The 17,685-nt window shown below is 34.0% G+C and overlaps 1 protein-coding gene across 44 annotated transcripts in view; it reads right to left on the bottom strand.

Moving 5' to 3' along the window:
• BLTP1 (bridge-like lipid transfer protein family member 1) overlaps positions 1-17,685 on the bottom strand; it is a 210,422-nt gene that overhangs the window by 133,417 nt on the left and 59,320 nt on the right. For 29 of the 44 annotated variants that reach the window (XR_938783.2, XM_047416253.1, XM_047416252.1 and 26 more), the window contains 5 exons: positions 9,769-9,996; positions 8,866-9,003; positions 4,659-4,838; positions 2,501-2,629; positions 96-215 (listed from right to left, as the gene is read on the bottom strand). Coding sequence is in view for 43 of the 44 variants with exons in the window: in XM_047416253.1 (XP_047272209.1) it covers positions 96-215; positions 2,501-2,629; positions 4,659-4,838; positions 8,866-9,003; positions 9,769-9,996 (795 nt within the window). In the remaining variant the exon portion in view is untranslated. Of the gene's footprint in view, positions 1-95; positions 216-2,500; positions 2,630-3,368; positions 4,494-4,658; positions 4,839-8,865; positions 9,004-9,768; positions 9,997-17,685 lie in introns of those variants that run through there. The other 15 variants (XM_047416258.1, XM_047416255.1, XM_047416256.1 and 12 more) reach the window with 4 other exon arrangements.

Here is a 17,685-nt window from a genome sequence, read left to right as displayed (position 1 = left end):
GATGACAAACTATAAATGTGTGTTTTATTTCAAGAAATAGAGGTTTGGTTTAGTAAAAACGAAAAAGCACTACACCAGCCAAGCAAAACACTTACCTTTATATTTGTAGCACAACCATGCTCAACAATGTAAATATCGGCTCCATCTACTGCTAAACGAATCATAGTATATTTCAAATCATCTGAAGTTGGACAAGGCCCAGGAATACAACTCAACTAAAATAAAAAAGGATTGTACATCTAAATCATCACCATCAACTTATTATTTTGATACTTAAGTCATCTTCTTTAAATAAACACAAAAAATCTAGTTATTGATGTATTTTTTAAAAATCAGTCTAATTTCATTCTTTTATAATAATAAATGAAATCAGCAGTTAAAGTGTTATCAATTAGAAAACTATACGTTAGAAAACAATAAGTAAGCATGCACCATTTTCATTCAGAAGGGGCAAATAGCAAGTCTAATGGACAATACATAGACAATTTCTTACTGAAACTAGAGAGGATAAGCAAAGTAAAGTGAAAAGTAAAACAGTGCCACAGGTTTACAAGAATTGTATGAGTTTAGAGTTGTAAGGTTTTCTTACAGGTACTCCATACGCACAGATGTATTTTCACACACACACACACACAAATTCACTAAGACAATCCACATTAATTTTATTTTACTCCTAAAACACAGATTTTTATGATGTTTAGGTTAGAAGAAAATGTATATATCACCTATATCAATAAATTTCTTGAGGAGATGGCAGCCCTGATTAAATTATTGGCCCAATAGCATGAAAATGCTCATTAGTGGCAGAGCCAGAACTAGAAACAGGTGTCTTACAGTGTAGTCAATACTCTATAAGGATATATTTCCTCTGGACAAAAATAGACCTAAACAAACTGAAGTGACAGAATGGAGATCAGTAGTTGCCTGAGGTAGGGGCTGACTGCAAAGACACACAAAGGAATTTTCTAAGGTGATAGAAATGTTCTATATCTTCACTGGTGGTAATAGTTACACAGGTATATACAGCATTTGTCAAAACTCAAACTGTACAACTTTAAAAGGATGAATTTACTGTAAATTATGTAAATTATGCCTCAATGAAACTTATTTTTAAAAATTTAAGAGCCGGGCACAGTGGCTCACGCCTGTAATCCCAGCACTTTGGGAGGCAAAGGCAGGCGGATCACGAGGTCAGGAGATCAAGACCATCCTGGCTAACACAGTGAAACCCTATCTCTACTAAAAACACAAAAAATTAGCCGGGCGTGGTGGTGGGCGCCTGTAGTCCCAGCTACTCGGGAGGCTGAGGCAAGAGAGTGGCATGAACCCAGGAGGCGGAGTTTGCAGTGAGTCGAGATGGCGCCACTGCACTCCAGCCTGGGCGACAGAGCAAGACTCTGTCTCAAAAAAAAAAAAAAATTTTAATGCAACATAAAAACTTCAAGTTAAAAAAAAAAAAAGAAAAAGGAGGGGGAGGCACCTAAAGGTATGTGCGTATTATCCATAAAAAACTGCCTCCCTGACCTGTGACTAAGGAACCAATTCTGTGGAGCCTGGAAATGTGTTTATAATAAGAAAAAAAATTTTTATCACCAAGTATAGCTGTTTCCTTTATTGTCAATATATAAGGATGCGTTACAGATTTTTTTTGGACATAAAAGTAGGATGAACTAATTTCAATTCACAGTAATATAACAGCAAACAAATATAATTTGTATAGCAGAAGAACAAAAAAGGAAAGACATATAGGAACGAACTAGAAAGAAAAACTAAGTTGTTAACCACTGTGTTGTAGAACCAGGGTAAGTTATTTTTCTCTTTTGAAACAGCCATGTTTTCCAGATTTTCTGAAATAACCATGCTTCCAAAATCAGGGGAAGAAAATGCCTCCCTCCCCAAATTCATAAGGGAGAGTATTTATTGCACAATAATACTATGGCATTTCATTGCCACTGCACATGGTTTTAGGGATTACCATCTACTTTTTGCAACCCTTGTGAAGATATTGTAATGACTCTTAATGAAGGTGGCACAATGTTGTGAAAAGAGCATAACATGTGGAGTCAGGAAACCTGGCAAATGACCAACCTTGCTATTACATTATGGGAGAAACGGCATGTCCAGAGTGGTCTGCAAACCATGTCATGTGAAGAATTCAACCTTCTCTTTGCTTCAATTTCTAAATCTTCTACATAAATATATAGCCATATCCCAACAAGTATAATAATGCAATATGACATGAATGTTAACAGTAAAAATGTAAGCAAAATATAATTTTTATAATTCTGTTTCTTTTTTAATTTGTATGTTTTAATAATTATCTCATATTTTAGATACTTAAAACTAAAATGGGTAAGAATTTAAAAAATAATTTTATTAACTGAAAAAACTGTAGTTTGCTGCATGGCTATGTGTATTTGACTTGAAGCTGATATCTCAATATTCCATTTTTTAAAATTCATAAATGTTTATAATATTGCTAACATATTTGTTAATATACCTTGGATTCACAGAACCGACGATCAATTCCATGCTGACATATTATAACTGATTTCGGTCTTTCCAGTTCATACTCCCGACATACCACATGAAAAACAAATGTCTGTCCCCACTCCAAGAGGCATGCCAGCTACAGATAATCAGTGACAAGTTGACAACACTGTTAGCATTCTAAACAAGGGTTTAGAGTTCAAAAGCTTCTGAAGAATGTTAACGTAGCTTGAAAGAACCCAAACACTGTCTTAAAACTTCTGCTAAATAAGCAACTTGTTAGCCAATGATTTTTTTCTACCTTTAATATCATTTACATGCTTATGTTACTTTTCCTTTATGAATGACAAAATGCACTGTCAAAATGAAAACTAATTGCAACTGAAAAATTTCACTTCAGCAACTTTTAACGCAAATCCTTTTATTCAAGGTTATATATCTTCCCTCTTATATAGCTAACTGAAATCTCCACATAGAAAAGCACCTAAAATTCTCCAATCATAAACCAAACTTTTATGTGAAAAAGTATCTAAATATCACATTGAGCTACAGTTTTTTTAAAACCAGGTATTTTGAAGATTAAAGCACTTTTGTTTATGTAAATAGAAGCTTAAGTAAGTATATATCATAATTCTTCAAATCTTCAGTTTAAAAAAAAAAAACACCCTAATTGATTAGAGCTGTTAAAAACATTGAGGGATAGATACACATGACATTATCCCCTCAAATAAGTACATAATTTAAACTCTTGGAAAATATAAATTTTACTTTTAAAACATACAGAGAATGGAATAAACATAAAAGTGCCTACAGAGTCATGAACTGTGCAGCAAACAGTGATGCCAAGATTTTATGCAGGAGAAAGAGAAATGTTTTACCTTATAAAGGCAATTTATAAACATGTAAGATTCTAGCAGGCCTTGGAATAAAGGAATTGTACCCAGTCTTGCAGGATCAGCATGGCTTTATTCCCTTCGTAGGGAACAAGCTGCTTTGGAATATGCTTCAGTTTTTACTAGTATACTTAGGGATGGGAAATGGGAGATAATAAGGAGAGGACAGTTACAAGACCAGTGAGCAATGACTATTGCTTTTCATCCATTTTTATACATTCCATTATGCATTTCTTTTCACATATTTTTATAAATATCATTATACATTCTAATATTATATTGAGATGACGTTCAACTCCAAAATATCCCTTTTCAATTCTATTCATTTTCTCACCATTTCTAGAATATTAATTTTTGCTACCCTCTGACGATTTCTTCCAGGTATAAAGGGCATCTAGGTTCTTTATTACTTTCTTGTTGCTACTACCTACCTCTAAATTATATGTTTTATACCCATTCTAAAACTTTTTATCAAAATTGAGTATGTAACATTCCTATCAAATTCCAGTCTTTTGAAATATCAAGATGAGCATTCATATTATAATAAATATATGACTCAGGTGAAATGTTACAATAATACGGCAATTCAACTAAACTTCAGTGGCCAATTAGAAACAAATAATACATTAAGGCTTTTGTGCCTTCTAAGGATTAAGTGAAAGGGGTGGTGGGGGACAATTTATCCAAAAGGATCACATCTAGAATTCTAGACCAGACTTACATACCAGTAAATTCACTTTTGTTTTTTGAAACTATTATCCACATCACTAACAGCAGGTACAAATGATGTAATCTTGCTTTGGGACATGACAAGCAAAGAACCTTATTACCTAATCCTTAGTATCATAAGGGCTACTTTCAAATCCTACTTTAAACATATGTAAGAAAACAAAGTTCTTAGAAAATTACTCCATATAGTAGAAAAATAAGATTTTTCCAACAATGGAGGGCCAAGTAATATAATTTTAATAATATATTAATGACTTCTAGAAAAGTACTCATCCTGAATTTTTCCCAAAGAAAGTCTCAAATTCTTTGAAATATTATATAGGTCTACACACATTACACCCAACAAATTATATGTGGCTCAGAAAAGTCAAACTTGTCTCTGATTCACCTATAACTAAAATTCTGAATGGCAAGAATGACTCCCATCAGAATGCCATCAGTGGAAATGCAATGAACATTCAAACAGGCATACAAGTTATTCTTGAGAAGGTGGGTAGAGAAAGGAAAAAGAAAATAAGTCAGGAGATAGTACTCTGAAAACCATACCTGTGGTGCTGTGACCTTAGCTGTAAGACTTCCAGCCTGCACATCAATTAACCATGCGTATTCTAAGGAATCGCTTCCCAAAGGAAGACCTTCTGCTGAGAACATAGCGTGTGCTCTCAGCTGGAGACCTGACAAATTGATGTGACCTTCCCTGAGTACTTCATCCACAGGGGGTCGCTGCTGAAAACAATAATGATGAGACTGTAAAATGTATAAGAAAATCACATTATAATTTCTAGTTGTTTCCCCCCACACCCCCTGCAGAGATGAACAATAAACTCATGCCATCTATAAGGTTTCAGAATCCACAAGCTCCTAACACAACCTTGTACCCGCAGAGGTATTCTGAGTTAAGCATCTTTAATGAACAATACCTATGAGAGTCCAACTATTATAAAAAGCAAGATAGCTGAGTCTTAAATAGTAGACAGATCTCTGATTGGTAACTGCCTTTATGAATAACAAGAAACTACAGTAGTACTTTGACAGGGAATACAAGAGACCAGTCTTTTGTAAGAAATCTAAGAATCATGAGATTAAAATATTTTTAAAAGGAAGACAACATTGAAGAACTCAGACCATTAAGACCAAACAATGAAGAATGGTGGGGAAAAGTAAACTTCCATATAGATTCTGAGGACTATGTAAATACAAGGAGAGTTTTCTTACAGAGAATAATTTCATACTCACTACTAAAAAGCAGCACGTATTTCAAAGGGAACATTTCTAACGTATTCAGAGAAATAAAGGATATGTCATAAAACAGATTATTTCATGGAACACTAGTTCCACACATTATTAAGAATAAAGAATCAAATAAGTTTGGGAATGCCCTACTGATCAGTCACCAATTTCTGTTAAAACTACCTCCCAGTCTCTGACAAATGCATTGACTTTTTTTCATCTTCAGTGCTCTCATCCTGGTCCAAATAGTATCACCTCTTGCCAGGACCTTTTCAAGGCATTAACTTTTTACATCTCTCTGCTCCATACTCTATGAGTAATCACAGAGATCTTCTAAACATACAAATCTGATCCTGTTCTTGCCTCCAGACCATTAAATGCTACCAGAGCACTGCCTACCTCACCTTGTGGCGCTTTTTACACTTGAAATTATTTATCTTAATTTTAATGTTCTCAATATTTATCTTCTCCCCCAGGTTCATTAATAACCATTTCTGCCTTGTGTACTAAGTATCACTGCACCTAACAGTGACCACAAAAAGTAGATGCTGCTGATTAGACAGATTTCTTCACAGCAAGTGTTCACAGAGCCTTCAACATACCAGTATACATTGAGGCAGTTCGCAAATTATTTCTCAACCTAGTTTTATTACAGTAGTCCTCTTCATGTATGTCTAGGCTATCTCACAGGGTTAGTGTTCTTTGCTTTCAATATATGTTGGGAAACAGTCTTAAAAAAATTTTTTTTAAGGATAAGGGCTAACTCTAATTCATAAGAAACTTTTTTTAAAAAAATTCAAATTGTGACTACAATAATCACTCTAGAAGCTCTTCTGATCCAATTTTCATTTTATTTTCATCCAAGCTGTGTGACTTTATATAAAATCACCTGACTTCTCCAGGCATTAATTTCCTTACCTTTTTTACTGAGGGAACTGGGGAGAGTGGTCAAGAAAGTTATCTTCTGACGCTGAGACTCAATAATTCTCAGTATAAAATTTTTATGAAATTTTTTAATCTCAAAATTACATGTGGATCTTGGGCTTTCCTAAGGTATAGCCTACATGATACACCAATAAATATTATATTCTAAATGTTATTACAGTTTGCATCATGCGTGGGTTGAATGGCATCCCTCAAAAATATATGTTCAAGTCTGAAGCCCTGGAACCTGTGAATATGATCTTTTTTGAAAACAGGATTTTTGCGGATATAATTAGGTTATGATAAGGTTACATTGATGGTGGGCCCTAATCCAATATGACTGGTATCCCTATAAGAGGAGAAAAAGTGGGACATGCAGGCACAGAGAGAGAGTGGCAGCCAGTCGAGATGGAGGCAGAAATTTGAGTGAATACCAGAGATTGCTAGCAACCACCAGAGCCTAAGAAGAGGCAAGGAAGGATCTTCCCCTACAGCTCAGACAGAATGTGACCCTGCCAACACCTTGATTTAGGACTTTGAACCTCCAGAACTGTGAGAGAATAAATTTCTGTTCTTTTATGTCACCTAGCATAGGATACTTTGTTACGGCATCCCTATGAAATTAATACATAAGATGACCACAAAGTAAAAAGTGCATAGTGTCATAATGGGACACAGTAGTCCATCAGTCACCTTAGAACCTTCATCTTGAAGCCTTGAGTTAAGAGACTGATGCTACCCAGGATAAACTACAAGTGGGTAACCCAGATTTGAGCCTTGGGAGTAGACACAGTGTGAACCCTCTCACTGTGAAAGAACATTAGATAGTATAACGACAGATGAAGAAAAAAATTCTTAGGAATAGTCGTGTCAACACTATAGAATGTAAACAAGGTAAGTAGACAAGCAAATTCCAAGAGGATATATATGGTACCTTTGTCTTCGGGGTAAGTTGTCAACAATCGGGGAAATGAATTATCACTAGTACTTCTACTTTCACCTTGGTATCTCTACTCCATGAACTCCTTCTCTAATCCCCAAATAAGTCATACTTTATAATTCAGTCTCTCCACAAGTTTGCATACCTCTATAATAAGAATTAATGTGAACATTCATAATCAGCTCAATAAAATGTTTTCTATGTCTGGAAAAGCCTTTTAAAAGTGCAGTGATTAAAAGTTGAAGGGCTACCAGGTACTCATAAAAAACCAGGGATAGTCATCTAAGTTTCTCAGAACTCATCCATAGAAGACTTTCCCTTTTCCCTTTATTAATTTCCTTAATAGACTGAAAAAGGGAGATGGGCTTCCTCTCCACATACCTGCCTCCCAGAATAAAAAACAACCGATTCTAATGACCTGCTAATTATAGAGAGGACAAGAGGTTTTTTTTTTTAAGGTTAATATGGCAAGTTAAAATAATGTGTTATGTGAGATCTTTGTGATGACAGAATAGTTCTGTATCTTCATTTTGGTGGTTACATGAATCTACACATGATAAGAAGACCTAGAACTACGCACACACATTGTATCAACGTCAGTTTCCTTGTTTTGATACTATAATTATGTAAAATAACTTAACCATGGAAAAAAACTGGGTAAAGAGTACACACAGGATCGCTCTGATCTTTGCAACTTCCTGTGAAACTATAATTATTTCAAAATAAAAGTTTAAAACCAGAAACACACATTCTGTGGCAAAACAAAAACAATGCCTAGCACATATTAAGTTTTAGCTAATATGATCTCATATATGTCAAATATATGTATGAAAAATTAAATTAAAATTCCATGAAGAAAAATATAGTCAGTGATGGCAAAAGAATGAAAAGGAGATATGCTATTTTAAATAAAATGATCAATTACTACATATAATCATAATAAATGATCATTCATTGATGATTTCTGGTTGTCAGATTCACCTTCCCATTTATAATTTTACTTTGTCTTGTATTAAGTTCCATTTATATTTCTAAATCACACAACTTGATTAAAAGTAAGACAGGGGCATATAAAGTGGTGGTAGTTGCCACAGAAAGCCATTTGGCATGAAAAAAATAATAAAATTATAATCTACCCAGAAATGTAATACATTTTCAAATTCTCACTTGATGAATATCATTGGTTCTCTTTTAAAAGAGCCCAGAGGTATCTTGAAGGAATTAACAAAGTATCTTATGTTAGATGAATAAGAATAAATCATTGATCATGTAGATACACACGTTTTAAAATATTATGGTACTGGTTAATATTAACATTTATGCTGTGATACTCAACAGAACCTACCAACATTTTATATAGTTAATTTTTCCCTTCCATAAATATTTGAGAAAGTACTTATTTCCATTTCTATTATAATAGCAAAAGGTATAAAATATAATTGGGATCACAGAAATAGGGAGCAGCAAAAGAAAATTGAGATTCTTGAAACAACTCTCATACACATAAACATACATACAAAACTTCTTAATACAGTTAACTTAAAAGTCTCCAACTTAAAGAGCTACAAAGTCCATGCACAGAAGCTAATACATTGTTTTAACCCAATAAATATTAATAATAAATCTCTATGTCTCCACCATATTTCATTTTCACCTTACCTGATAGTTATCACTGACAAACACATTCAGGGGTGACAGGATAAGTTGCAGCATGGTCTCCCTAAATCCTTTTTTCATTTCAAAACATAGTCTTTCCAAGAAAGCTGTAGGGCATTCAGGACCATCAGTAGTTCCATGCTACAGTCAAATGAAATAGCACAGTTGAAATGCAGAAAAGGCAAAAAGTAAGGAAGTATAGGAAAATAAAAATTACATCTGTCATGATTAAGAGAATTTGTTTTTCAAAAACAGAGAAACTATGATTACTGAGAAAAATAACTATTCTGTACCTCAGTAGGATCGTTAGCTGCACTAAGCAACAGAGGGCCACCGGCCCCACCACCCCACTGCAACCCGGACACACACCTCATCTGGCCCTGCACCAAAGTCCCTGGGTTCTTGGGGCAATTTAATATCATTCCATGTCAGCCAGAACAGGTCCACAGGTTGTCCTTAGAGCGACCCAGGATACCGTGCTAGATCCAAACTACATAATTCAACCCCCAGGGTCAAGCCAGAAACTCCATTTTATAACAGGTCCACCATAAGGCCCCAAACTGGTCTGGGGTCTAGAGATAAAAGCTAAGAAAATGTAAAGTCCTTGAACACCCATCAGGTTAATTATAAACCCAACAACTCAATGTATGACACGATGTCCTGACATTACACATATAGCAAAGAAGGAGCTAAAGTTAAATTAGAAGAAAAATAGAAAATAAAAATTACCAATGATCAAGTAATCATATTATGAAGAAAATACATGAGTTTTATAACAGTAAAAGAATAAATTTAGAAGTTTCTAAATCTGATTTTCTTTTTCTAAGTGTGTGCTGAATGCTTCACATCTATACACAGGTGGATGTTATAATATATTCCAGACTACTTTCATGTGTAAACACTTACAACAGGAAGACGCCCATGAACTTTGTACAAATTAACAAGTACAGTAATATCCCAAGGACGCAAGGCAAGTGGATGAATTGACTTGGCTGAACCTTCATTTTCCTTTTTGTCATTTTCCATTCCAACAGCAGTCCACCCAGAGCTGGATGATGTTGACAGTGACAAAACAGGACTTGAGATAACCTCTTCAAAATCCATATACATGTCATCTTCCCCAAAGTAGTTTTCCTATAAATATTAAGAAAACACAAATTGCTGTCAAAAGAGGTATGTAAATATATTTTCACCTATGAGCCTAAATTTGTAAATTATGCATTTCCTTAACCTATTATATTTAATAAAAAGGCATCAGGCCTATTGTCTTAAAATACAAAAGAAAACATATGTTAAGACTTACACATAGCTGCTTGGCAAATATTCAGTAGCAAAAAATGCAAAAAGTTACAGAGCCTATTTTATAGAAAAACTTCATGGCATTGCCCCAATTACAGCAAAACCTTGTAATTTAGGTCCTCAGAGACCTCTGAAGGTTTGCATGGTTAAACAGTTTTCAATCACTGCTCCTCAGAGTTCTCAGGCAATACCGAGGACATCCTTTGGGGGAAGCAATTCACTGAAAATCAGTCTGGCTAAATTCAATTAGGTAACTAGTACAATTCACATATTCCTGTTGGAATATTTATTGGGCATGTTTTAACAGCTTTAATAAAAATATCCAATCTTGGTTATTGATGAGATAAAGGCATGTGTTACCAACAATTAACAAAAATTCCTTTCACATAGTTCATCCTGGTTTTTTATGCAGAAGTGTTTCAACTACTGTTTTCTTTTGCATGAAAATATAAATTTAGCTTCAATTTAATTTATTTTTTCCCATTGATTCTATATTTAAATTTTGGCCATTTGATCTCTCAGTAGTAAATAAAAGTTGTTAAATATTCCTGTTAACATTGTCAGCATATCTGTTAAATATTAGAACCAAGACAGTATTTTGGTAAATTCTGCACTTTGGTTATTGACAAAATTATCTTCTGACTAGAGTTATGGACATCAGTACATAATATCTTTTCATAGGAAATAATGTTGAAGGGCTTAAAGTCATACAGTTAATTGGTAGGGGGATTAATATTTAAATCCCAAACCTACCGGCTCACAAAACCAGTGCTTTTTCCTCTATTCCCTATTGCTGTCCACCTCCTAATTACAGATGCCACTTGAAACCTGCTTGAAATCTTAATAACTGTCTTTATAATACAATTCTGAAGCATGGACAAATTTATGCACAAATATAACAGAAAACACTGGGTTATATTTTAAATTCCAACATTGAATTTTTAAAAAATAACATAAATGTCTAAGTGAGTTCGATCAACATTAAAAACTTGAAGAGATAAAACAAAAGGCTGGTTCTTTGACAAGACAAAAAAAAATGATGGACCATCCATGAGATTAACCAAGAAGAGAAGAGAGAAGATCCAAATAAGATCAATTAGAAACAAAACTGGAGATATTATAACCGATACCACAGAAATACAAAAGATCATTCAAGGCTACTATGAACACCTTTAGGTGAACAAACTGGAAAATCCAGAGGAGATGGATAAATTCCTGGAAATATGCAACCCTCCTAGATTAAACCAGGAAGAAACAGAAACTCTGAACAGATGAATAACAAACAGTGAGAGAGAAAAAGTAATTTTTAAAAATTGCCAACAAAAAAAAGCCCAGGACCAGATGGATTCACAGCTGAATTCTATCAGACATTTAAAAAAGAAATGGTACCAATCCTACTGAAACTATTCCAAAAGATAAAGAGGGAGTCCTCCCTAAATCATTCTTTGAAGACAGTAATCACCCGAATACCAAAACCAGAAAAAGACATTTAAAAAAGGAAACTAAAGATCAATATCCCTGATGAACAAAGATGCAAAAATCCTCAACAAAATACTAGCTAACTGAATCTAAGAGCATATCAAAAAGATAATTCACCATGATCAAGTGGGTTTCACACCAGGGATGAAGGGATGAGTCAATAAATGTGATATATCACATAAACAAAATTAGAAACAAAAACCTATTCAACAATTGGGTAGAATCAATATTGTGAAAATGACCATAATGCCAAAAGCAATCTATGAATTAATTGCAATTCCCATTAAAATACTACCGTAATTCTTCACTCAACTAGAAAAAAAAAAAATCCTAAAATTCATATGGAACCAAAAAAGAACCTGCATAGCAAAAGTAAGACTAAGCAAAAAGAACAAATCTGGAGGCATCACATTACCCGACTTCAAACTATATACTACAAGGCTATCATTACCAAAACAGCAAGGTACTGTTATAAAAACAGGCACGCAGACCAATGGAACAGAATAGAGAACCCAAAATAAAGCCAGAGTGGAGCCAAATACTTGCAGCCAACTGATCATCGACAAAGCATACAAAAACATAAAGTGCGAAAAGTGGGTTTCATACCAGGGATGCAGGGATGGTTTATACACAAATCAATAAATGTGACACATCACATAAACAAAATAAGAAACAAAAACCTATTCAGCAAATTGTGCTGGGATAACTGGCAAGCCACAAGTAGAAGAATGAAACTGTATCCTCTTCTGTCACCTTATAGAAAAATCAACTCAAGATAGATCAAAGACTTAAATCTAAGACACGAAACCATAAAAATTCTAAGATAACATCAGAAAGACTCTTCTAGACATTGGCTTAGGCAAAGAATTCTTCACCAAGAGCCCAAAAGCAAATGCAACGAAAACAAAAACAAATAAACGGGACCTAATTAAACTAAAAAACTTCTGCACAGCAAAAGAAATAATCAGCAGAATAAACAGACAACCCACAGAGTGGAAGAAAATCTTCACAAACTATGCATCTGACAAAGGACTAATATACAGAATTTACAGGGAACTCAAACAAATCAGCAAGGAAAAAACAAATAATCCCATCAAAAAGTGGGCAAAGTACATGAATAGACATTTCTCAAAAGAAGATATACAAATGGACAACAAACATACGAAAAATGTTCAACATCACTAATGATTAGGGAAATGCAATCAAAACCGCAACATGATACCACCTTACTCCTGCAAGAATGGCCATAATTTAAAAGTTAAAAATAATAGATGTTGGTGTGGATGTGGTGAAAAGGGAACACTTTTACACTGCTGGTGGGAATGTAAACTAGTACAACCACTATGGAAAACAGAATGGAGACTCCCACTAAATGCAGAACTACCATTTGATCCAGCAATTCCACTACTGGGTATTTACCCAAAAGAAAAGAAGTCATTATATGAAAAAGACACTTGCACACACATGTTCATAGAAGCGCAGTCCACAATTGAAAAATATGGAACCAACCTTAATGCCCAACAACCAATGAGTGGATAAAGAAAATGTGGTAGATAGATAGATAGATAGATAGATAGATAGATAGATAGATAGATAGATAGATAGATAGACAGACAAAGATAGATACACACACACACACATATATATACCATGGAATACTACTCAGCCATAAAAAGGAATGAAATAATGGCATTCACAGCAACCTGGATGGAATTGGAGACCATTATTCTAAGTGAAGTAACTTATTAATGGAAAACCAAATATATGTTTGCACTCATAAGTGGGGGATAAGCTATGAGGTCACAAAGGCATAAGAATGATATAACAGACTTTGGAGACTCGAGAGGAAGGATGGGGGGGGTGAGGGATAAAAGACTACACGTTGAGTATAGTGTACACTGCTCAGGTGACGGGTGCAGCAAAATCTCAGAAATCACCACTAAAGAACTTATCCACGTAACCAAAAACTACCTGTTCCCCAAAACTATTGAAATAAAGTAAACAAACAAACAAAACTTAAAGATGTTCAAAGCAGTAGTTCTCCCCTCCAGAAGCCTTTATGAAATACACATTCCACCCCAGTCCTGATGACTGTTCACAAAGTTTGCAGTAGGCAGAGTCCAGGGTCAAGTGTAAAGTGGAAAAACTCCTTTGATACTTCCATCTGTAAATGGCCCCCAGAAAATCACCTCTGTCCCACCTTCTCCCCAAACAGCTGATCTAAGGACTCAACTACTATTAGGTTTCAGCATACTAACATGTACCAACAAAACAGTTACCAGCACTCATTTTAAGTCATTTTTAATGATCCTAGCCAACAGATCTCTTATTTTTTAAAAATTCCCTTGTAGTCTGTTATCATTGTAAATCTTAAAAAAATTTAGATTCCTGTAGATTATTACAGTAAAAAGAAAAAAGATACCCTTGGGTCTAATGTTCAATTTGCTACTAAAGCAATCTCCATTTAATTATCTGAAATGGAAATAATTCATATCAAATTCTTTAGGGAACACTGAATGTCCAACATAGCAGAGAACATTTGCTAATTTTTATTAAATGTGTCAGTGACTTTGCTCTAAAGGAGTTATAAAACACTAGGATTCTTTCATGAGTTAATACATTTGTAGTTACTGAATATTATCAACAAAATGTACTTTTAAAATTATAACTCCTTTAAGAACTTTGTCTAATGTTATATGTCTAATGCTGGGTGTGTGACTTAAGGGTTTCTCTTAATTTATGAATTCCAAATCTATTAGTTAATTTCCTAAGAATTAACTGAAAGGCCAGGCACAGTGGCTCATGCCTGTAATCCCAGCACTTCAGGAGGCCCAGGTGGGCAGATCACTTGAGCCTAGGAGTTCGAGACCAGCCTGCGCAACATGGCGAAACCCTGTCTCCACAAAAAATACAAAAATTATCCAGGCATGGTGGCGCATGCATGTGGTCCCAGCTACTTGGGAGGCTAAGAAAATCACCTGAGCCCAGGAAGTCGAGGCTGCAGTGAACCATGACCATGCCACTGCCTGAGTGACAAAGTGAGACCCTGTCTCAAAAAAAAAAAAAAAAAAAAAAAAAAGAATTTACTGAAAAAAAAAAAAATAGTTACCAAAAAGGTTGATCAAATGTAAGGTAGATGGTAATACATTACGGCAAACTTTTATGGTACTTTAAGATTAATAAATGTACACAAATATTTACAAATACAAATAAAACTTTCAATTTCATTTTATAATAGATGGCATGTAAGCTTAAACTATCTTTAAAATAAATTCCAAACAACCCCAGAAAAAATTCACTGGCTTATAGAACCGAGAAAATGTGTTCTTTTGTCAAATTTACATTATGCTTGAATTTATGAATGATAAACTACATTTCAATTTACTTAAGAATTCTCCAAAATTTTCTTTACATAATGGTATTTTGGTATATGAGTGTCTTGTCACCTACTTCAAGTAAGAGACTGCAATGTTTTTCCTAGCTAAAAATGTATACTTATCCAATGATGCTCATTTCTCAAAACAGAAAAAAAAAATAACAATAGGCTAAAAGATGACAGCTAATACAATCAGAGAAACAGTAGGAAAAGTCCACAAGTACTGTTTCCAAAATTATACTTTTTTGAAAAAAGAAAAATTAATAGCCAGGTTTCTGTTCAAGATTATTAAAATTATTTTTAATAAGAACATATATGCCATATATACCCTTTCATGCAGTTATTTGCTACCACTGACATGTTATCACTATAAAAAGATTTATTTTTCTTCATTAACAAAAAAATGAAATAAGACTAAAGAGAAGTCAATTCAGAAAAGTAATATAAGTAGCATTGTTATCCAACCTTATATCCACAACAGAAGAAATGACAAAGTTTTAATATGACTGAAATGACTTTGGGCTGACAGTTAGAATTACAATATTGTCTACATCTGCAGAAGACCTTCCATTTCCATACATGTCCTCATAAATTTTAATGCATATTCAGTAGACATATTCTTCTTAGAATTTTTTTAATGATAATGCCAGGTCTAGTTTCTTCCATGGATTTTGGAAAGCAGTCTTTCATATACAGCCAAACAAATATAGTGATTTTTTTCCTAGTTTATTCTTTATAATTTCTTGATGTTTAATTTTGATAACTAAAAAAAGACAATCTCGGTTACATGAATTTTTACATTCCTTTAAATTCCCATTTTATTTTTCATGTATACATGAAAATACATGAACAAGAAAATTTCATATATGAATTTGAATATATTATAAAAATAATATATACATTTTTGAACTTCCAAAAAGTTTTAAGGTACTAATACTGATACCAAGTAAAATACACATTATATAGTTAAACAAACAGACCAGGAATGGTGGTTCACACCTATAATCCCAACACTTTGGGAGGCCAAGGTGGGAGGATCACTTGAGGCCAGGAAGAAGTTTGAGACAAATCTGGGCAACATGGCAGGACCCAGTCTCTCCAAAAAATAATTTTTTAAAAATTAGATGGGTGTGGTGGTGCTCGCCTGTAGACCTAGCTACTCAACAGGCTGAAGCAGGAGGATCACTTGAGCCCTGGAGTTCCAGATTACAAAGAGCTATGATTGCTCCACTGCACTCCAACCTGAATGACAAAGCAAGACCCTGTCTCTTAAAAACCGAAACCAAAACCAGAAACTCAAAGAATTGCACAAATTCCTTATAAAAGGAAGCATAGCGTTCATTGGGCTAGACAAAGTTTTTACCTGTCATGTCTTTGATATATATTTAGTAAACATGTCAAAATTTAAAATTTTACAATTTGCTTTAATAGACATTTTATACAACTTCTAAGCTAATTAGATGAATGTCATCACTAATATAATATTTAGGGCAAGACAAACTTTTGAAACTACCAAAAAGTTGCTTTAAAGCCTTTAATGCACAAAAGTCTGTATGAAAACAATAACCTATCAGCAATGGCTACATCTGCAGAGAACTTATAAACAAGTCTAAAATGAAAGCATATATTTATTTCACTGTATTCTGTTTTGTTAGAGTCCTCTTATTTTTGGTGAATATGTATTACTATCAGTTTTTTTTTTGATAAAAACAAACTGAGGTTCCATGTGTACATAGTAACACAAAAACAAAAGTTAATACCACTCTAGTAGTATTCAAAAACTGATGCTGTATCACTATGACTACCTTCACCTACTAATTAAATCATTACTTATATTTAAGTAAAATACAATGCAGCCTCTTCAGGAAGACTATAGCTTGAAAATTACCTTTTAAATCCTTTATAGTTATTCACATGCAATCTCAAGAAAGTAAGACATTGGGAGACATATTTGACATACATTTTAGGTCAAACGATGGTCACAAGAAGGAAGAAAAGTGTGTATGTAATCAACAGAAACTCTAGGTATCTACAAATATTAACCACATTTTCCCTTGCATCTTTTATACTAAGTTACATCATCTGATGATTTATGGTAGTTTTTCATAAATACAATATAATAACTCAAATATTGAGATGCTATATACCTTCAAAACCCAGTTCAGCCAGCACTTCCTGCAGAGAGCCTTTACTAACAAACCTTGATTGTGCTTCCCTGTCCAACCCTAAACATCCTAGTCCCTCTCTCCAGAATTAATTACTGTACATTACAGGATTCCTTGTCAGCTAGGTATTCGATATCCAAAGTGAATCTGCCGATCCTGTAAAAATGCAAAATTTCTTAAGTTGTTGAAAGTGATGTTGGATAACTCCTCTAATCACAGGCAAAGGTGATAAGTAAGGATCAGCAAGGATTATAGTAGTTACCATAAAGATTAAATCAGTAAGAATTGTTGATAATCTGTTGGGGACATTTAAAACATGATTTGAACATCAAAAGAATAAGAGTGATTTCCAAAAAACTGATGAACTCCTCAAATATTTATCCAAAAATAGCCTCTCTTCATAATCATTCTACAGAGATCAACTTTAAAGTGCTGTCATACTGTGCAATTACACAATTTCAGTGGAAAAAATTATACCAAAATGAGTCAACACTTGTTCTTTGT

The sequence above is a fragment of the Homo sapiens genome, chromosome 4, assembly GCF_000001405.40.
Source record: "Homo sapiens chromosome 4, GRCh38.p14 Primary Assembly".
Taxonomy (NCBI): Eukaryota; Metazoa; Chordata; class Mammalia; order Primates; family Hominidae; genus Homo; species Homo sapiens.
The sequence above is the reverse complement of the archived record's forward strand: the minus strand, read 5'-3'. Positions and strand labels throughout refer to the sequence as shown.